Here is a 23,839-nt window from a genome sequence, read left to right on the forward strand (position 1 = left end):
CTGTGCTATAAAGTATGAGAATTTTTTTTCATCAGTTCATTTGATTTATAACTTTGATCATTTTTTGTTATGCAAAATAATTATATAGTGTTAAAGTGTATCAAAATTTATTTTATTGTTTTAGAATTTTGAGTGTTAGGAAGTTTTTCCTAACTTCCTATAAATATTATAAGAATAAATAACATAATTATTCCTATAAACAATTATGTTATCTTCTAGTCTCTCTACGGTTTCTCTCTCTCTCCTACCTTTCTTCAAACATTGTGCCACAGCAAAAATTGTACTGTCTGAAATTACACAGACAAGGAAGACTTATTCCAGGCTATTGCAACAGGGCAATTCAACTTTACTAAAACAAATGGATGAAGAGTTTCTAAGAATTGAGGTAGAGATGGCATAGGGCAAGAGGATCACAGGCTGTTTGTATTTGCTAATTGGTCTTACCCTCCGCCCCTGCACGGCCCCACCCTGCCCGCCGACACCCATAAAAAGTAAACTGTCTTGTATGTTCATGACAGGAGGTAGTTTTGCAATTTAGTGCAAGGGGATCACAGAGGTCAAGCTCCTACTCTCCCAAGACATTGGGAGGTAGAGATTCCATCTTTCTTGATGATTACATTTCAAAGAAATGGCTGCCAGGTATTTGAGGAAAAAAAAGTCCTGATTACTAAAGCTAGGTAAAGGCTTTCTAAAAGATTTTCACATCAAATGGGCCCAGAAAAAGATTATAATTACAAGTTTTCTAAAGTAAATGTTCTAAGAACTTGGTGGGCAGGGGCCTAGAGCCAGGAAGTCTGGCTGAAGTTTATTCTTGCTTAGGGAAACATTAGGGGCCTCTAAGTCACTTCCTTTCTTCCAGGCTACTTACCTTTCTTCTCTTTGTCATTTAGACAGTTGGTATATAATCCTTTCATAATTTATCTTGATATACAGATAGATGACGTTTGACTGCTGCAACTGGTGCTCATCTGGGATCTAGAGGCAGATATCTGAGGATCTGTATTAACGGAAACTTTTTCACAATCTCCATGAAATAAACAGCTGCTTGCACACATGACTTCATTCCTACTACAGTACTGATTTTTCACAAATAAAAAGAAATAATACTTTATAAGAACAACAGCAATAAAAAAGAAACAATCTCCCTTATTTTTATTTAAATGAATATGTTTTGTGAAAAGCTGTTTTGTATTCAGGTGGCTATGTAATCCTGTAATTTCTCTAGAAGCTTTCAGAATAATTTCATACCTTTTTTCATTATAGGTTTCCAAATGCGTAACAGGGATGAGTGAGCTTGTGAGTTTCTTTAATATTTATTTGAAAATTTAGTGATATAGAGTTATAATTGATCAATATTACCTTCTTTGAGGAGTAATTTAGAGACTAAATGCTATACATTAATTGTGGATTTGTTAGAATAAAATCCTCTGGATAACACAGAGAAGCAACAGATGTATTATATAAGGCTATCCCAAAAGTAAAAACTTTTAAAGAATACAACAGTTGAATGAACATAGTTTTCAAGCTTTTAATTTGCTTTTCTCTCCTTGAAAGCATTCCTGGCCTTGCTATATCAGAACATCATCACCCCATCTACCACTGTATGTTTTATCAAAAGGTCAGCACAAAATGCATAAATAATTTAAATGCAGAATTTATTTTTAAATTGCTTAGAAATACAATTGCTGAGAAGTTATGATATAATGCTTTATAGCTACCCAACTATTTTTTAATGCTTTAAGCATCACTCAAAAAATGAGAAATACAATAATTTTTATGTTTCATATTGAGTTGACTTTACCTGAATAAAAGGGGCAAGCCCTTATCCTTCAGCAAGCTGATTTGAAGAGAGGACTCAGAAAACAATACTCAGAGATAGAATGATGTGGCTCCCTGAATGTTTGCTGCCTTTAAACTCTAATCAATTTATAGAAATTAAATCACTGCCATGCCTTTCTCTAGACTAATATTAATAGTCAGACAAAATGGAAATAACAAGAGGCATTATACAAAATTATATAACTATTGTATTTGTTTGCTTTATTTTATCTACAAATAAAAACAAGCTAGTATTCATATAATGTGAAAAGCTGTTGTTTTTATGTGTGTTTTAATGCTTTATAAGAGCAACAAAGAAAAACATTTCAGGGCTGTAAAAAACACCTTTTTTAGTGTTTAGAAATTATATATATTTTGGCCGGGAGCGGTGGCTCACACCGGTAATCCCAGCACTTTGGGAGGTCAAGGCGGGCAGATCACCTGAGGTCAGGAGTTCCAGAACAGCCTGGCCAACATGGTGAAACCCCGTCTCAATTAAAAATACAAAAATTAGCCGGGCATGGTGGCGGATACCAGGAATCCCAGCTACTCGGGAGGTGGAGGCAGGAGAATCACTTGAACCTAGGAGGTGGAGGTTGCAGTGAGCCAAGATCATGGCATTGCACCCCAGCCTGGGCGACAAAGCAAGACTACGTCTCAAAAAAAAAAAAAAAAAAAGAAGAAGAAGAAGAAAGAAAAAGAAGCTACATATATTTTAAAGATACATAAGCCCACATAAGGGAGCACCTATAGGCCAATGATGAATAATTTGAGCATCAAAAATAATGATAAATACTATTGAGCAAACACTGACTATATAAAAAGTTATGATATTAACTCAAAAAAGTAGGAAAAAAAGACCAAAAACAAACTTATAAACTATCAAAACAAAGCATTAGGTTTTTTTTTTGCCTTTCCAAATAGTCTACGTTGACGAGGGGAAAATCTTTACTGAAGAATTATAACTGATAAATGTAGGATAAATAATAGAAATAGAAAGCCATGGTTATCAACGGTAATGAAATGATTGAATCAGGCAAAGAATAAGGACTATAAAATTATGACATGAAAGGTTGAAAGAAAATCTTGCAGTGGAGCTATTTGCAGTCCTAACCACTAAAAATAGATTTTGTTCCTCTGGATGTGGCGCTAAACGTGAAGCACCCAGAACAACCTATGAAGGAAGTTTGCCAAAACTTCTCTGAATCTCATCACATTTTAAGGATAACTTATTATTTATATAAAGTGAAATGACCCCTTGACGAATCAAAGTAAAAAGTATGATGTGGGATATTTTAAAAGAAAACATAAATTTATTTGCAATAAATTTATGATAGAAAACGCATATGTATACCTTGTTAGAATCTAAATTTGAGCAAATTACTTGTAAAAATGTATTTTAAAGACTATCAATAATATTTAATTTTTGGCTATTTCTTCTAAGATACCATTTCCAATGTGGGTACCCGTGACCAGAGGCTCTGTTTCAGACCTTATTCCCAAAGAATTGTGTTTGTCTGTTTCAACCTGTTTAGAAGCTACCTGAAGGACTGACACAAGTCATTTGTCTTTGGTTTTTCTAACTTGAAACTCACACTGGACCACAAAGCAGGGGACATTTCCCAAAAACATTGTAAGGCCAATGAACAAACTGCAGCCACCTGGGGCGACATTACAGTTGAAGCATACAATAGAACATCAAAAGCCTTGGAGGAAAAATTTGGGGGGAGGATTTCTTTGCAAAATTAGGCCATTCAAAAATGCCTATTTATATGGGGTGTAGAGAAAGCCACGTGCACACCCAGAGCATAATGTATGCACACAAAAATCCTGAGAAGACTCTAAGCTTTCAACTTTAGATAATCTCTAGTCTCAGTGACAGCAGAGTTATAAACTGCCTTACTAAGTGTTGAAGGCCCCAGCATATACTATAAGCAAAGACTGAGATTATATTTGTTGTTTTGTTTTTGCTTTCTTTTCCTCTCCTCTGTCTCTCTCTGTCTCTTTCTCTCTCTCTCTTATTTTAATTTTTCCTCTTGTGTTGCTCAGAGAGAAATCTGTTAAAAACACTAGTTGAACACACACTAAAGAAACAGAGACATCAGAGACCACACGTGACAGAAAATACAGACTATATGACAAAAAAGACTTTATAAAAGTTACTAAACAAGTAACCATCTATACCTTATGAAAATAAACAACAACAAACCCTAAAGAAGGGAAAGAATCTGACTTCTGAAGCTACCACATTATAGTATTCAAAATGCCCAACAAAAACAAACAACAAAATCAAAGGCATACAAAGAAAGAAGAAAGTGTTGCCACTTTGCAAAAGAAATGAACAGAAACTATCGCTGAGAAAGTATAGACATTGGACTTACTAGACTAACACTTTAAATCACCTGCCTTAAATATTCTCAAAGAGCTAAAAGAAGCCATAGATAAAGAGCTAAAGAAAACGCAGAGAACAATGTATTAACAAATAGAGAATATTAATAAAGAGACCAAACTTTAATAGAAATCGAACAGAAATTCTACAGATAAATATTTTAAGAACTAAAATGTATAAACATGCTACAGGGTTTCGGTAGTAGAATTGAGTAGTCAGAAAGAAGTATCAGAGAAGTTGAAGACAGGAAAAATTTAAATTAATGAGTCTGAGCAGAAGAAAGAAAAAGGAATGAACAAAGTAAACAGACTAGGTGACCTGTGGGGCACTATCAAGCATGCCAATATACGCATAATGAGAATCTCAGAGGAAAAAATGGAGAGAAGTGGGAAGAAATAATATTTGAAGAAGTAATGACTGAAAATGTCTCAGATATTTAAAAAGACATGAATTTACACATCAAGAAGCTCAGTGAGGTACATGAAGAATAAACATAAAGATATTAACATGGAGACACATTATAAACAGATTGTGAAAAGCCAAGGACAAAGATGGAACCTTGAAGGAACCAAGAGAGAAGAAACTCACCATGTGAAAGTCATCATCAATAAGATTAAGGCCGATTTCTCAACAGAAGTTATGGAGGCTGGAAAAGAGTGAGAAGACATTTTTAGAGTGCCAAAAGAATGAAAAAAACTCACCCCAAAATTCTATATTCACCAAAAGTATTCTATATCTGGCAAAATAATCCTCCAACATAAAGGAAAAAGGCCTTTCTAAATAAACGAAAGCTAATAAACTTCATTTGCTAACAGAATTGCCCTGTAAGAAATACTAAAAGGTGTCCTTCAGCTAAATATAAATGTCTATTATTACACTTCTAGTTTGCAACTCATCTTTCTATTTCCTACATATTTTGAAAGACAAATATATAAAACAGTATTTATAAATTTATATTAATGGGTACAAATTATATAAAGATACTATTTGTGACAAAAAAATTGTGGGATAGATTTGTATAAGAGCACAGTTTTTGAATGCTATTGAAGCTAAGTTGGTATCTATTTAAAGTAGATTGTTATGAATTTAGAATTTTAATAGTAATCCCTAAGAAAATATCTAAAAATTGTTTGCAAAAGGAAATAAGAAGAAAATCAAAATGGTATGGTAAAATCTATTAAACATAAAAGAAGGCAGTGATGTAGGAAATGACAAAGAAGGGATGACAGAAAAAAACAAATAACAAAATGGCAGAAGCCCCTTGTTATCAGTAATTACTTTAAATATAAGTGGATTAAACTCTCCAATCATAATACAGAGAGAGGCAGAGTTGATATAAATAACAGTCTTTTAAATTTAGATCCAAAATCACAAATAATTTGAAAGTGAAAAATGGAAGAAAAAAAGATACTCCTTGCAAATAGTAATCAAAGGCAAACCGAGTTGGTTATATTAATACGATACAAAATAGACTTTAAGTCAAAAGATATTTCAAGAAATAAGAAGAGTATATATTGACAAAAAATGAATCCATCAAGAAGATGTGACAATTATAAAAGTATATGCACCAAACAACAGAACTCCCGAAGCATATGGGGCAAACATTGACAGAATTGGAGGGAAAAATAAGCATTTCTACTAAGAAAATGGGGAATTTAATACACTGCTTTTAATAATGGGTAGATAGAAGATGAATAATAGAGAATGTGAGAAATTCTGTAAACTAGTGAGACCCAAAAGCCATATACAGAACACTCTCCCAGTACAGCAGAGAGTACATTCTTCTATAGTGCACATTATACAGTCTCCAGAATATTTCAGGCCATAAAATAAATTTCAAGGAATTTGAAAATATTTAAATCATGTAAAGCATAAAAACAAAAACACAACATATAGAAACATGGAATGCAGTGAAAGCAGTTCTGAAGGGAAATTTAAAGCACTAAATATTAAACTTAAAACTACGAAGATATATCTCAAATCAATAACTCAACTTTACACCATGGTTACTAGAAAAATAAGAGAAAACTAAACCCAAAACTAGCAGAATGATGGAATATTAATAATTAGAGCTGAAACAAATAAAATAGGGAATAGAAAGAGAATGAAACACAAAATTGGCTCTTGGAAAAGGTCAAAAAACTGGCAAAACTTTAGCTTTAAATACAAAGTAAAAAGAGAGAATACACAAATAACCAAAACTAGAAATGAAAGTGAGGCCATCCCTATTTATCCTTATAGAAATATAAAGGATTATAAAAACAATTATGAACAAATGTACACCAAACTTGGTGACCAAAGAGCAATAGACAAATGTTTAGAAACACACAATCTACAAAAACTGGATTATGAAAAAACAAAATCTGAAAACCTGTGAGAAGAAATTAGATTTAACCAGCAATAGTAATAGTAATAATAACTTTCAGCAATGAAAAGTCCAAGATCAAATGGTTTCACTCATGATTTCTACAAAATATCTAAAGATGTAACAACAATCTTCTTCAATCTCTATTTAAAAATTAAAGAGGAATCACATGTACTAGCATATTCTATGATGCCAGTATGACCTATACCAAACGCAGACAAAGATATGTCAAGAAAAAAAGACAACCAACCAATAGCTCTTGTGAATTTCATGCCAACATCCTTAACAGAATACAGGCAAATGGAATTTAATAGCATATTTTAAGTATTATACACCATGAAACAAGTGGGACTTATCCCAGTAATACAAGGGTTGTTCAAATAGAGAAAATCAATCTAAGTAATACACACATTAATAGAACTAAGGAACATTTTTAAAAGAAAAAAAATTTGATAGATTCCAACACTTTTTATGGTAGAAAAAAAAACAATAATCTAGCAATAGGAAGGAATTTTCTTAACAAGATACAGGACATTTATTAAAAACTCACAGCTTACATTATGCACAAAGGTGAAATGTGGAAAGCTTTGCCCCTAAGATCAGGAATAAGATAAGAATAACCTTTTTCACCATCAATATTCAACATTGTATTAGAAGTTTGCCATATATATATATATATATATATATATATGAAAGTAGGCAAGAAAAAGAAAAAAAATGGCATCCCAGTTAGAAACAATTTAAGCTGTTTCTACTAGAGATGACATAATTTTATACACAGAAAATCCCAAGAAAAAAACAAAATACTACTAGAGCTAATAAATGAGGTCAGTTACAGAATAGTTTCAATACGCAAAATTGTGTTTTGCCACCAGTCAATCAGCAATCTGAAAATAAAATTAAGAAAACAATTTCATTTATAATAGCTTGCAAAAGAATAAAATACCTAGGAATAAATTTAACCAAAGAGATGAAAGACGTGTATACTGAAAACTCTGCTGAAAGAAATTAAAGACAAAAATAAGCAGAAATGTTCATAGATTAGAAGACTTTATAAAGTGAGAATACTGCTAACATTGAGCTACAGATTCAATGTAATCCCTATTACAAATCAAACAGCGTTTTTTACAGAAATAGAAAATCTGTGCCTCAAAGTCACGGAATACCAAGGGACCCTGAATAACAAAAGCATTAAAAAAGAAAAGAAAGAGCATTCATATTTCCTTGATTTCAAAACTTCAATAAAACTACAGTAATCAAAACAGTGTGGTACTAGTATAAAAACAGACATATAGATTAAGGGAATAAAATTGAGAGTCAAGAAATAAGCTCATGTATCTTTAGCCAATTTATTTTTGACAAGCATGACAAGACTGTTCAATGAAGAGAAATAGTCTCATCAAAAAGTAGTGCTGGGGCAAGTTGGTATCCACATCCAAAAAAGAAAAAGAAGGTTGGACCTCTACATCACATTATGTGTTAAAATAAGTTAAAAGGGATCAATTACTTAAATATAAGAGCTACAACCTTTAAAAAATTAGAAGACAGAAGACGTTGTGGAGGCAATAAATCTTCATGACCTCGTGTTTGGCAATGACTTCTTAGATATAACACCAAAGCACAAGCCACAACTAAAAAGAAGATAAGTAAGACTTTATCAAAATTAAAAATGTTTGACTATCACAGGGCATTTTGAAAAAGTTGAAACTGCAACCTACAGAATAGGAGAAAATACTTGCAAATCATGTACCTAATAAAGGTTTAATATTAAGAGTATATAAATAACTCTTACAACTCAATGATTTGAAGACAATTTTAAAATGAGCAAAACTTACATAAATATTTATTCAAAGAAGATACACAAACAACCAACAATCACATGAAAAGATGGTCAACACTCAGGCTACATATAGATGATCCTCTAAAATAGTGTGCTGAGGCAGAAGGTAGACACAAAAATCATACATTGTATGATTTCATTTGTATGAGATAAATAGAATAGGTAAATCCATAGAGACAACATATTGGTTAACAGAAGGGGCAATGGGGAGCAACTGTTTAATGGATATAAGATTTCCCTTTGAGGTGATGAAAATATTTTGGAACTGGACAGAGGTGAAGACTGTACAACAGTTTGAATGTACTGCATGCCACTGGATGGTTCAATTCAAAATGGCTAATTTCATGTTCATGAATACCAGCTCAAAAAATGGTGTCATTATTTGGAGTGACAGAGTGATTGGGCCACTAGGCCTATTTTACACTACTGGATTTTTATAAAACTGAATGTATATAGCTGCACACTCCAGAATGGCATAATATTTAACAGTATGCTAATTCTCTGTATCCCTACATAGCCATTCTCTCTTTACAAAAGAAATCAGGGAGTTGAACAACAAGGCTAAGAAACAAACAAAATCCAAGACGTTGTTCAGATATAAGGTTAGTTTTCTCACAATTTATTATATATTTCATTTTTATAGAAATACTGATGCAAGGAAAGAAAAAACATATTAAGCCAAAGTAGTTTTAGAGGTGTATGTGTGTAAACTTCGTGTAGTGTCCATTTGATAGTGACTAACATGATATTACATAGTTTTTTGCCTCTTCACCCATCATTTTATCTGAAATTTCCATTTTAGTCATTACATTGTGTTAATGTTTTAGTTGGCCAATATATACCCCCTCTTTATCATCCAAGGTTGGAATCAGCTGAGCAATACATACTAAGGTTGATTGGAGGAGGAGGAGTACTGCCTACCCCACTAAACATCCACAGCCTGATCTCTAATAACCTGTAAATAAATTATTTTATATAGTAACAGGACGTTACAGATATGCTTAAGTTAATGATCTTGAAACAGGGAGGCTACATGTGGATTATCCACATAGAACCAATGTAATCACATGGGTCTTTGAAAGTGGAAAATATTTCTAGACTGTAGGCAGAGAAAAAAAGTGTGACAATAGAAGCAGGATAAGAGAGATAGCCATGCAACCCACTGTTGCTGGCTTTGAAAATAGAGGAAAGTAGCCACCAGACAAGGGACGTAGACAGCCCCCAGAAGCTGGAAAATACAAAGAAACAGATTCTCCCTTAGAGCCTTCAGAAGGAATGCAACACTTGCAACACATTTTAGAATTCTGATTTCCGGAACTAGAAAATTACAAATGTTTGTTATTTTAAGGCACTAACTCTGTGGTATATTATTATAGCAGCAATAAGCAACTTATACAGTGGGTACATAATCATGAGAAATATGGCAAAGATCTTCTGGATACTTTATCCCTGAACTAGTATATTCAATAAGGTCCCTTTTACTACCTGGCAGAGAATAGATTGAGATACTCTTGCAACACATACTGACAAGCAGACAGGTGTTTCAAGAAAAAGAAAATTTCAATACCAAAATTGTCCAGTTCATTTTTCTAAAGTTAATATGAGCAGGTAAAATTTAGAAGTATAACTAAAAATGATACTTCAGAATTAACACTGTACACTTTATATTATGTCCTGTGTCCAGTAGTAGATAAAGTTAAACTACTCTCCATTAGTATTCTACAAGATTAAAGTTCAGTAATGAATTCCATGTTGCCAAGCATGATTTCATATTTCTGATTTCTCGGTTTCAAATACTGTTTGACTTCCTAGAAACATTAACACAGTTGATATTTCTTTTTTGAAACAAGCTCCTTGTTTTCCCTGAAGCACTCACTCTTCATTTTCATCTTACCTCTCCAGCAACAACTTCATTATCTCTGTAGGCTCATTCAACTCTCCAAACTCAGAGCCTACCTTTTTCTTCTTTCTTCTTGAAATCTTATCCATTTGCATGACTTTATACCTCCTCTGCATACAGATGACTCTAAAATAAAAGTAAAAAAAAACTATAGGCCATATATTTGACATCTATATTTGTTTATTTACTTTTCAATAGACATTGTCCCTTGCATGTCCCACAGATAAAACGCACACACATGCACAAGCATGTGCACACACACACGTCAATCCATTCCTCTTGAGCATTTCCAAATGAACCAGAATTCAAAAACCATACTCGATTCTACTCTATCACCAACCTCCCCCTTCCCCAGTGGCTAATCTTTCAATGAATTCTTTTATGTCAAAATTTTCTATTTCCAAAATTTATCTTAGTTCCATGTACTTCTCTCTATTTCCATACCTTCTTAACAGTCCCAGGCACTTCATCTTTTACTTAGACAACTGAGTGCTCCAAATTATCTCTATAATTTCTTACTTTTTATTAATAACATTCTTTGCATTTCAATAAAGACATCATTTAAAAGTATTTATGAGGAAAGTTTAATCCACATCCAGATTCTACTCCTCCTTTTCTCTTTAAAAAACATTTTAATAGCTTTCCTTTAAATGTAAAATAGCATGTAAACCCCTTTATAAATTACAGCCTGCAAAGCTCTGTAGAAATCTGGACCCTGCTTACCTTCCCATCTCATTTCAACTCCTTCCTCCCTGTATTCCAGATAGACAAGCCACTTTTCAATTCCTGAAAGTGAACAAGGTTTTTCCATTATTAAACCTTAACAATGTTCAAATCCTTTGCTCAGAAGGCTCTTTTTTGATTTTATTTTTATTTTTCAAGTATGAGCCTAAATATTACCTTCTTACTGGTGTATTTCTTAATATTCTTCATAATAAAACACTGAATTATCTCTATAATGAATATGCTTTATAATTTTTCAAATATTTAACATTTTTGTTTACTTATTTATCGCAAGGCTCCTCTTCCCCACGTCACCCCATCCCCCATGCTATGAACAGACTGACCCTTTGTCCTTCATTTATCATTTTATGAAACACAAGACATTCTTAAGTACACTTACAATAAATGTTTTTCAGCAAAGGAATGAGTGAGAGGATTATTTTATTGATTAGTTAGCAGGAGGAAGGATCCAGGAGAGAAATCTATATAGTTCTAATGGAGATAATGGCAAAAAAAAATATTTGAACTCCGGAAAAAGCTAGGATATGTGAGATACCATGCTAGAGATCATGGGTGGGGTAGAGAGGATTTTATGGGAACCCCAAAACAAGAGTTCAAAGTTAGTGACTGACTTTGAAATCCTGAAAAATCCATGTAAAAACATTAACAAACTGCCTTAGATTGAATGATTGCATTTCTCATATAGAATAAATTCAATTTTTTTTCTCAAACTTCATACATCTAAGAAAAATGCTAATAGTAATCTATTCCAATCTAATGCTAACCTAAAACTAATACTATATTTTTCTATCAACTCATTCTTCCTTTCTTCATTTTTTCCCCTCTTCCAGTTGTTCAGAACAAAACATTTAGGGTCATCTCTTACTCTTCTCTTTTTCTGACCTATCAGAGAATCTTGTTTGCTCTGCAAAACACAGTTAATGACAATGTAACAGTCACCACAAAACTTTATTAGGATATAGTAAGAGAGTAATGGACTCCTCTTTCTTATAGTGACTATTCTGAAAGAGGAGTCTGGCTGGACTGTTTTATTTTCTTTTGAGGACTATAAGAGCCTGAAACTGTGCAAGGACCTGACAGTCATCTTATAGGAGGGAAGATGAAGCATCCCAGGTGTCCTCCTTTCCCCAGCTTCACATATACCATCAATCAAATTTGTTTCAACCAATTAGGAGATTCCTGGATTTGCTGCCAGTGTCCTGGAATTGCAGCCAACCAGACATAGGATAGTCTCATTAACATTTACTGGAGCAGGTAGTAACCTCCACTAGATTTGAACGTGTAAGGATTTGGATTCCATAGTTCATCTCCCAGAACTTGCAGCAGGTTAGACCATCAGGCTCATCACAATAGTTTCATTCATCACACACACAAAAAAAAGGTCCCAGTTTTTCAATGAATGCATTAATCACTCTTAGATCTCATTCTTTGCTTTTTTTTTTTTTTTTTTTTTTTTTTTTTTGCCACAATCCACCCTCCACTGTCACACTAACTATGCAATACTGGTTCTCGAATATCCTTGCTTCCCTCCTCGTCACACTCATATAATTTAAAATTAGGACCTAAAGTGGTATTGTTAAAACATAAGTTTGATCATGTGAATCCTTTTCTCTAAACCCTCTGTTATTCCCCTACCACACTCAGTGTCAAAGCAAAAGTACTTACAGTGGACTACAAGGTCCTGAAAAATATGGTCCTGTTATCTCTCTGAACTCATCTCTTTGTAATTTCTCCCCGGCTCACTGTTTCTAGCCGCGCTGCTGTGTTCTGCATTGGCATTTGCACTTTGTTTTCCCTCTGCAGGAAACGCTTTTCCCCAAATATACGTAGGGCTCACTTCCTTAGACCTTTAAGTCTTTGTCCTAATTTTCTTATAATTTCAATTGTCCAAACATTGGACAATTTATCATCAGAAATAGTAATAAAACCATCATGCATTGCTGATGGGAGTGTAAAATAGAATAGTTTCTTAGAAAGTGAAACATATAATTACCATATTAACCCACCTGTTGCATTCAAGGTATTTACCCAAGATAAATAAAAATGAATGTCCACAAAAAGACTTCCACTGAATGTTCAAGGCAATATATTCACAAATGTTAAAAACTGAAGCAGCCTAAACATAAACTGGTGTATAAATAAGCACAATATAGTATATTCATGCAATGAAATATTCACCACTTAAGTGGAACAAACTAGGAATACATTCAAAGGCATGGATAAACCTTGAAAACATTATGCTAACTGAAAGAAGCCAGAAATAAGAGTGTAAATATTGTATAATATCATTTACATGAAACAGAAAAAAACCTATGGAGAAAAAAGGCAGATAGGTGGTTGCTTGTGACTGGAAGTTGTAGTGAGATTGACTCTAAGTGGCCACAAAATAATGTTTTGGTATGATGGAAATATTTTAAAAGTGGATTTTGATGATGATTATCCAACTCTATAAGTTTACAAAAATCTTCAAACTTAAAATGGCTTAATCGTATGGTATGAGGTTGTATGGTATGAATTGCGTGGTATGAAATAATGCTATTTAAAAATAAATAAAGAGAAATCGTGATAAGTTATAATATTTGTATAAAAAGAATTCATAATGATACTGAAAAGAAGGAAAAAAGGCTACTCTTTATAGAAGAACATCACGATATACAATAAATTATAGAATTAGAAAATATTTTGTAACTTTTATGTAATGATCAATTCAGGGAAGGATAACCAATGTGTGTTAAAATACATTAAGTCAAAGGGTGATAGAAAACCGGGAACACACATGATTTAAATACCCACAAACACTTACTAGTTACCATGTGGAGTGGTAGCTTTAAAGGGTTAATTATGGTGGATCTTATCTTAAACAAAAGAAATGAAAGGGGAAAAATGAGCCCAGTAAAAATTGCCTTCTGATGTAATGTATTGAAAAGTTTACAATATTACTTATATACTATCTTAACCAAAATGTTTAATAAATAATGATGAAATAGACAAATCCGGATTACTGGGGTATTATATAAGACTCCTATTAACAGATAGACCTCAAAATGTTATTGTCATGAAAAAATACAATTTTAAAAGGAGCTACAATTTTAAAAGGAGTATTGCTGCTCTAGATCAAAATGGGACAAAGAGATATATCTTTAATCTTAATGCAATGTGGGATCCTTGATATAATAGAATTTAAATGACGACAAATTCTTTGTACCTCCTTCCAACAAGAGGCAGAACAAATTCCCTTTTCTTTGAACCTAGGTTGGATTTCTGAATTGCTTTGAATCATAAACTGAAGCAGAAGTGAAGCATAGCCATTCTCAGCCAAGACTTTAAGAGTCTAGGAATCTCTGTCTTTGCTCTTGGATCCCATCTGCCATCATATAAGAAAGTTCGGGCTAGACTTCTGAATAACTAGTAACCACATGGATATTCCAGCCTCGGTCCGTCTCTGAGTGACTGTAGCTATGTGAGTGACCCCAGACTACATCATGTGTAGCAAATGGACCAACCAGCTGAGGCTTGCCCAAACTCCGGACCAACAGAGTCGTAAGAAATAATAAACCACTGGTGTTTCAAGCAACTGTATTGCTTTGTTTTAATGTAGCAAGTGATAATGACCATCTCATGATATCCTACACCAAGCAACAAACAAAACACAGCTGTCAATAATAATGTTGTGATACTAGGTTACATTGAATATTGGCTGGATATAATAAAATGTTATTTAAAATTTAAGGAGCATCATTATTGATATGTAGGAGTATATTCTTGTATTTAGGGGGTAGGGACTTGAAGATTTAGAATTAAAGCGTATTACTCTCTGTTACTTATTCTGTAATACTTCATCTAGGAAACAAAAGCATATATATATATATATGCTTTGAATATATATATATATGCTTTGAATATATATATATATATATAGTCCTGCCAACACACAAGGCATACTTATGCATATATATATATATATATATTCAGAGAAAATGATAAGCAAATGTGACAAAATGTTAAAAATTATTAATTTTAGGTGAAGATTGTGAGAATATTCATTGTACGATTCTTTCAACTACTCTAAAGTTTAAACAAAATTAAAATAAAAAGTGAGAAAATAGGAATGAACAAATGAATATATTCCAGCATTAGAAAACTGTAATCTCTTTATCAGTGACATTTTATCTTACATCACTTTTTTAATTTAATCCACAGTTCTCACCAACCACTCCATATTCCCCTTTCCTGATTTTTTAAAAATAAAACTTATTGTCTGACAAACTATATATTTTTTATATATTGTTATTATAAATGCATTTAGTTACCATACATTTATATATTGTCTGTATTCCTCATTCCTGCCAGGTTATAAACTTTATGAGAGCCGAGATATAAGAACAAAGATTTTTGTTTACTCTTATTCAATCCCAAGAGCTTAATAGCTGGTATATAAGATGCACTCAGTGTTTATTGAATTCATGCAACTTGACCTTAAAAAATAGTCTATTTTATAGTAATAGTGCCATTATATTATTAGAATAATAATTTATTCTAATATATTATCGGGTTATACAACAAATAATATTTATTTCAGAACATCTATCTTAAGAATCATCTAAAGTACTTTACATATATAATTTATTAATATTAAGAGCACTCAAAGATAAGCTTCATTCCCATTTTCAAAGGAAGAAATTTAGACTTGGAAATTTTAAGTGGCTCAAAGTCATACATATAAGAGAAAGATTTTTAAGCACTAGTCTTCTTTCTTCCGAACAGGCAGTGTTCTCAGTTCTTATTTAGAGCATGTTTTGTCTGGATGAAAATTCTCATCTTTTCTGAAATACATAGCTTTGGGTGAGATTCATTAAGATAGGTGATGGGAAGAATCAGGCTGATTATATAGAATCTAATTTCTAAAATACAATAGCATGTGAGGATTGGTAATAGATTATTAGTCTTTACACATTTCTGCGTTTTAATTCAATTTTATTAAAATATGATGAGTCAATAAAAGAATCAGAGTTTTAGAGCAAAAGAGTATGACTTTAATCAAGCAACATTATATATAGCCCATCTGATGTCCACTGAAGTTAGATATGATGTGTTACATATTCAGTAGAGTCATTGAAATTCACATGAACAAAACAATTACAAATAAAGAATCCAAGATGACAAGTTAAGAAGCAAATAACAGAATTAATTGGGAGGAAGTCTGCTATTCGAAATACTTTTTCAGCAAGAGAGATTAGTTCTTGAAAAAAAGCAAGCAATTTATTTGAAAAAATAAAAAGGTCTTAATTATTGGAATCTAGACAGTCATCTGAACCAAATAATCTGAAGAATTGGCTGAGAGCAACTTAGCTAATTGAAAAATTAACCTTTAATTTTAATCAGCAAATGTTAATTTGTTATTCAAACTCATTAAATTTCTGTTGCAATTCTAAAACAACCTACCAATTTGTAGATATAATAAATATATATTCAGATGATGTTTTACCTCATGCCAACACACAAGGCATACTTATTATATATACAATGTTTTACCTATGAATGAAGATAATACCAGTACTTTGACAGTGACAGACATTATCCATTTATCAGTCTTACAGTAACAAATGATAAACATTCTAACCAGAGTCAAGATGAAATCATACAGCTACTTAAATAGTTCATCAAAATTACCTTGCCAGATGCCATGTATTTGTTGGTCCAATAAATGATGTACTAGAATATACAGCGGTTCTATACATGATTGTGAAGAGAAATTCAGAGTTAGTGTGCTGTGGAAGGAGTAAAAATTATTGTAGTAGTAGACATATGACTAAATGGAAGATAGAAAATTAACATACAAAAATCAGTTGTGCACTAACAACAAACTACCTAAAAAAGAAATTAAGGGCGGGGCGTAGTGGCTCACGCCTGTAGTCCCAGCTACTCGGGAGGCTGAGGCAGGAGAATCGCTTGAACCCAGGAGGTGGAAGTTGCAGTGAGATGAGATCGTGCCACTGCACTCCAGCCTAGGTGACAGAGCAAGACTTCGTCTCAAAACAAAAAAAAAAAAGAGAGAGAGATTAAGAAAATCAATTATATTTATAATTGCATGAAAAATATTTAATGAATTTAACCAAGGAGATAAAAGATCTGTACACTAAAAACTGTAAGACATTGATGAAATAATTTGAAGAAGACACAAATAAGTGAAGAGATGTTCCATATTCATGGAATCAAAGACTTAATATTGTTAAAATGTCCATAACACCCAAGTGACCTACAGAATCAATACAGTCCCCATCAAAATTTCTTTTCTCTAGAAATAGAAAAACTCTTCTGAAGTTTGCATGGACCCACAAAAGACCCCAAATGGCAAAAGCAATCTTAAGGAAAAGAAGAAAAAAACCTGGAGGCATCACACTCCCTGATTTCAAGTTATACTATAAAGCTATATTAACTTAAAATGTATGATATTGGCATAAGAACAGAAATTGTAGACCAATGGAACAGAATAGAGAGCCCAGAAAGGAATTCAAGCATATATATACAAATAATGTTTGTCAAGGATATTAAATTCCATGTTATGGTACCCTAGATAGAATCCTGGAACAGAGAAAGAATATTAGGTAAAAACTAAGATAATTTGAATAAACTATGTATTTTAGGTAATAATAACTTACCAAAATAAATCAATAGTGACAAATGTGACACACTATTGTTAGATATGAATAATAGGGAAAACTGGGTGTGGGGTATATAAGAATATATATACAACACAATGTTGTGTGTGTGTGTGTGTGTGTGTGTGTATCTATCTACATATATCTATATCTATCTATATATATCTATATCTATCTATATATCTGTATATACACACATACATATATTGTGGAATACTACTCAACCACAAAATAGAATAAAATTATGTCTATTGCAAGCAACATGGATGGAACTAGAGGCCATATCCTAAGTGAAATGATTCAGAAACAGTCAAAAATCACTTGGCCTCACTTCTGAGTAGCAGCTAAATAATAGGTACACATGGACATACAAAATGAAATAATGGACACTGGAGACTCTGAAATGTGGGAGGCTGAGAGGGGTATAAGAGATGAAATACTACTTATAAGGCACCATGTTCACTATTCAGGTGATGACTGCAGTGAAAGCCCAGGCTTCACCACTATATGATATACCCATATAACACAACTGCACTGGTACCCCTAAATCTATTAAAAAAATTGTAAAAGACAAAAAAAAAATTTCCATTACCTTGTCGGGTGTATACGTCTGTGGTTGTTGATATCTTTGATGTATTTTTACTTGATAAGAATTGCAAGTGTATCTTAGGGAAAATACAACAGAAATATTAAAATACAGAATAATTTTAAAATAGATATTATTAAAAGATTATACAAATATTTTGATACTTAGAGGAGACACACAATTTCTCTGTTGCCATATTAGAAAGAAAATAGCACTTTCTCCAGATGTTGTTATGAAACCAACCTAGCATTAACTGATGAAAAAAAAAGTGGAGGAAGCATATTTTGATAAAGTCTTAAAAATATAAGCATTCTTTGGTAGCTCACAAACCTTTTGCTCCCTGATTTGGTACAGAGAACATACTATAGGGTTACAATCTCTGATTTGAATCTTTAAATATAATAATGAAATATTATTACCGAAGTATAATTATATTAATCTGAAGTATGGTCATATTTTTCTTTCTTAAATGACTTTTTTTTCAATTGAAGGAAAGCTAAGCATACAGTATAACAATACTTTGGTAAAAAATTATTATAGCTAATATGTTTTGTAAATGCTTGGAAATAAAATACTCTGCCCCTTTACATTTAAGCCACAATATTTTATGTCATAGGATCCATGTTATTTGCAATAATAGCAACAATATTAACAGCAAGATAAAAATTGGGGCCCAAAATATCGTTCATGCTTTGTTCTAATACATTATTACTATTGATACCTAGGTGTCTTTAGCATATTAATTATAATTTTTTAAAATATGGTTTTTTCATCTGCTATATGGTGGTAATAGTGTCTGCTTTCTATACTTCATAGAGTGTTATGAAGTAAAATGAGATCATGTATGTGAATGTTTGTGAATTATGAACTGAAAAAGCATTAAATTTATTTTTTTCCTTTTGGACTGTGTTTTCCTTTATAGTGAAAGGAAGAAATTGAAATTCAGAAATGTAAACAATTATGAGAATAATAATAAATAGTTCTCAATTTACATTACAGAATTTAAATTCCTGAGTCCAAGCTGTCACATTCTCCTGAGTGTTTGATTTAGTTGAATGGCAGGACTTTGATATCTGGTGTGACACCTTCTATCTTTATATAACCAAGCAAATATTTATTGACTTATTGCAAATGATATCTAGACTCTTGATATTTAAAAATTAACATGTTTTGGCCAGGTGTGGTGGCTCATGCCTGTAATCCCAGCACTTTGGGAGGCCGAGGCGGGCGGATTACCTGAGGTCAGGAGTTCGAGACCAGCTTGGCCAACATAGTGAAACCTTGTCTCGACTAAAAAATACAAAAATTAGCTGGGCACGGTGGCAGGCGCCTGTAATCCCAGCTACTCAGGAAGCTGAGTCTGGAGAATGACTTGAACACGGGAGTTGGAGGTTGCAGTGAGCCAAGATCGCGCCATTGCACTCTAGCCTGGGCAACAAGAGTGAAACTCCTTCTCAAAAAAAAAAAAAAGAAAAAAGAAAAAAGGAAACGTGTTTTACTTTAAAAGAAGGCACTAGTATTTACTATTAATTTGGATGTACAATATCTGCAATAAAGCATATACAGTAAAAACAGATAAGTAAATAGGTAGATACAGGTAAATGAAAGAAAGAAGGACAACCATACACATTTGTATTTTCTTACACATGTGCATACTGATTGTGCACATCTGTATGGATAATTATGTACTAGGAATAAGTAAGTTGCTCTGTATTTGTAAGCTTCATTCCTAATTTATTATTGATAAAAGTAGGCCTTCGGGAAAAAAAGATTATTTGGCATTTTAGATGCCCACTGAGAAAATGAGGATCAAAGAATCTATTTACAGTAAAGAAGGGGGAGGTAAAAACTAATTAGTAATTATAGCCTATAAACATTTACAAATTAAATCTTCTTTGTAGACTTAATGTCTTATGATAAAAAATGTTCAGTCAGATGTTCCTTTTAAAGAAATACTGTTAAACAAGAATATTTCAGTACCACATTCAGATTCAATTATTTTAAAATAATTTAAGATCAATCTGTAGCAAGATTTTCATCTAGAGATTTTTGATAGTTAACCAAATGATTTGGTATCCTCTATCTATTTTATAAAGTGTTAGGCCTAGTGTCGATAATCATTGAGACAGTTTCTCCTAGTGTATAAATGATTCATTTGAAGGAGGTTAAGTGCTTTGGGGAAACTTTATTAACTTTTCCAGGAGCCAAGGGTATCATTTAACAAATGGTACTGCCTCTTCCCATCAAAAATGGCCCATTACACCCAAGTCATGTATCATATGTCAGGTAAATATAGTACTTATTTTGTTGATTGAGCCAGAAAGATTAAGAACCTTTCCAAAAGAGGACAAAATGAAGCATTAAAGAACTGGGACCAAAAAACGAGGCGATTGCCACCCTGTAGTGCTTAGTAAGTCATTAGCTCACATTCCCTTCACATTAGCACACTTCACTTCAGCACAGTACCATATCTCACAGCATTTATCAATCCACAAAGAGAATCAAAGCAGTAAGAAATGTGCTCTTCATTGTCGATCAGAAAAGCCAATTACAACTTCTATTAGATCCCTGTCTAAGTCAGCGAAGTGCAAAGCAAGCAAAAAAGTCACTTCTCCAGTGTATGCCTTTTCAGCAAGATTTGACAACTTACAAAGAATTATCTGAAACGGATGATCACGATCATTATGTGTCTATCATACAAGTGTTAAACGGCTGTGTACTACATACATACTGTAAGAATGAGGAAGACATTTTTAAGAATATTGGCTTAAAATGATTTTAGTAGCCTCATAACCTCATAAGCTGATATTTTAGACAATCTTGTCTTTTAACTTAACCTAGCAAACACAAGTACAGCTTAAGAATTGTTTTACCATTTTAACTTCTGTACTATATTAATCTATATTGTAATAATTTGATTTTAAACAAAAATTAATTTTTATATTAAAACCCATATACTTCAGAAACTCTGGAATTCCACAACTTCTGATACAAGATTCTAAATAATATAAAACCAAATAATTACATTTGTCATTTAAATTATGCAACAAGTTGAGACACGGAAACTAAACAATAATCTAATTAGTTCGATGTTGTAACTTACTGTAAGAAAGGCAATGACTTTGTATATCAATTTTATTATTGTTGAACAGGTTTACATAATATACTTCTAGGAAGTAAAATTCAGTCTATTAGTTGTATTTTCTATAGATACCATAAGAAGCATGATTTTGAGTTTATGACTTACAAAATCCTGATTCTGACAGTTTTTTAGCAGATAGTAATTAATAAAGTGACAACTGACAAATAGAAACAACAGAAATCTTGATATTTAAGTTGCATTTCAATTTCACTTCTAAAGATCATGAGTCTGCTTTCCTATTAAATTCATTGCTTTTTATGACTTTGAAGAAGATCTCTTAGAGTCATGTCAAATTTTGCTATTTGGGGCAAAGACCATGCCAGAATTTATAGGACAAAAAGTATATCATAAAGGTCTTGATAGTAAGTTCTAAAATTTTAATGAGTATAAATACATAACAACTCAGACATGAGTTTAGAAAAATTTTATCAAACCAACTTATCACTCTCTCATACCAAAAGAGAATCTTTTAAGTTATAGGCTTTGTATCAGTTGTAATTAAAATATCATTGTAGAACTAGTTATGAGAAATTTTAATCAGAAACAATTAAATCCTCTCACATAGATACAGAGTTCCACAGTCAAATAAAAAATCAGATGTGTCATATACTCGTTTGCTCTGTCAGCTTGGAAGCCTTAAGAGAAATGACAACCCAGTAGCAAAGAACACACTTAGTAGTCAGATCTTGGTTTCCAATGTCATTCTCCATAAAAGAAACCAGTGACATTTGTAGAAATGGCTGATTCTATGGTGGAGCAAGAAATACACACGAGTCTGGAGCATTTCGTAGTGCCAGAGTAAGGACGTGCTGGGAAAAAAAGAAAAAGAAACAAAATACATTAATGGAGATATGTCTAAAGATCACAGGAGCCAAAATCAGCTCTCAATGGCCAATGCTGAACATTTTGAGCAACAAAATCAAGTAGTATTGGATTATAATCCAACATTTAAACACACACACACACACATCCATGATATAAATTAAATTTGGAATAAATTAATGGGAGAAAAGAGACAAATTCCCCATGAAGAAGAATTTAAAATAATTAGTGTAGATATTCTACCATCAAGAATGAAGAACATAACTACACACTTCTAAGGTGTAGGCTGCACATAGATACCTGCAAAAATACAATATGAAAAGAAGGCAGAAAAAAAATAAGAATGACTTTACAATGGATAAACTTGACAACACAATCTCAGTCAGGTAATCAAGGTCAACATCAACTGTGAGAAATCATGTTGATAAAATGTACCTGGGATAAAGTGTGATGAAAAAATGGCACTTTACCTCTGTGGTCTTTCCTATAAAGTGTGATCTCAGTCTTATCATGAGAAAAACATGAAATAAATTTCAATAGCAGGGTGACTACAAAGTAGGTAACATTCCTTAAAACTGTAAAGGTCGTCAAAGACAAGAAAAGTCTATGAAACTGCCAGAGCAAGGAGGAGCCTAAGGAGACAAGACAACTGAATATAATGTGGTATTTCGGATAGTCTTCTGGAATAGAAAAAAGACATTATGTACAAACTAAGCAGGCCAGGCACAGTGCCTCACACCTGTAATCCCAGCACTTTGGGAGGCCAAGGCGGGCAGATCACCTGAGGTCAGGAGTCTGAGACCAGCCTAGCCAACATGGTGAAACTCTGTCTCTACTAAAAATACAAAAATTAGCTGGCATGGTGGTGGGCACCTGTAATCCCAACTACTCAGGAGGCTGAGACAGGAGAATCGCTTGAATCTGGGAGGTGAAGATTGCAGTGAGCTGAGATTGCATCACTGCACTCCAGCCTGGGTGACAGAGCGAAACTCTGTCTCAACAACAACAAAAAAATGGAGGAAATATGGGAAATTTATGGATGTTAAATATTTATGTATCAATAATAGTTTCTGAATTATGCCAAGGTATCATACTAAAGTGAGATGTTAATGATAGGGAAAACTGCGTGTAGAGTATATGGGAAATCTTTGTACTATATTGTCCAAATTTTTTTTCATCTAAAACTATTTTTAAAAATAAAGTATATTAGAGATGGAGAAATGATAATGTGTGAAAATGTTCAGCCCATGTACTTCATAAATATAAGTTCAAGAGCCGGACATGGTGGTTGCACCTGTAATACCAACTACTCCAGAGGCTAAGGCAGGAGGATCACTTAAAGCCCAGAAGTTCAAGACCAGCTTGAGCAACATAGCACAGACCCCCATCTCCAGAACAATTTTTTGGGGGTGGGGGGAGAGGAGAGAGTCTAGCTCTATCGCCAGGGTGGAGTGCAGTGGCGTGATCTTGACTCACTGCAACTTCCACCTCCTGGGTTCGAGTGATTCTCATGTCTCAGCCTCCCAAATAGCTGGAACTACAGGTGCATGCCACGACATCCAGCTAATTTGTGT

At 33.0% G+C, this 23,839-nt stretch overlaps 1 long non-coding RNA gene across 1 annotated transcript; it reads right to left on the reverse strand.

The window, feature by feature from the left end:
- Positions 1-866: 866 nt before the first annotated feature.
- LINC00374 (long intergenic non-protein coding RNA 374) lies at positions 867-22,287 on the reverse strand. Its single transcript, NR_132367.1, has 7 exons — positions 22,005-22,287; positions 18,308-18,380; positions 16,727-16,786; positions 11,036-11,098; positions 10,307-10,438; positions 4,796-4,853; positions 867-997 (listed from the first exon to the last, which is right to left on the reverse strand). It is a non-coding gene; the product is annotated as a long intergenic non-protein coding RNA 374 (long non-coding RNA).
- Between the last annotated feature and the right edge of the window lie 1,552 nt (positions 22,288-23,839).

Source organism: Homo sapiens, chromosome 13, assembly GCF_000001405.40.
Source record: "Homo sapiens chromosome 13, GRCh38.p14 Primary Assembly".
NCBI classification, from domain to species: Eukaryota; Metazoa; Chordata; class Mammalia; order Primates; family Hominidae; genus Homo; species Homo sapiens.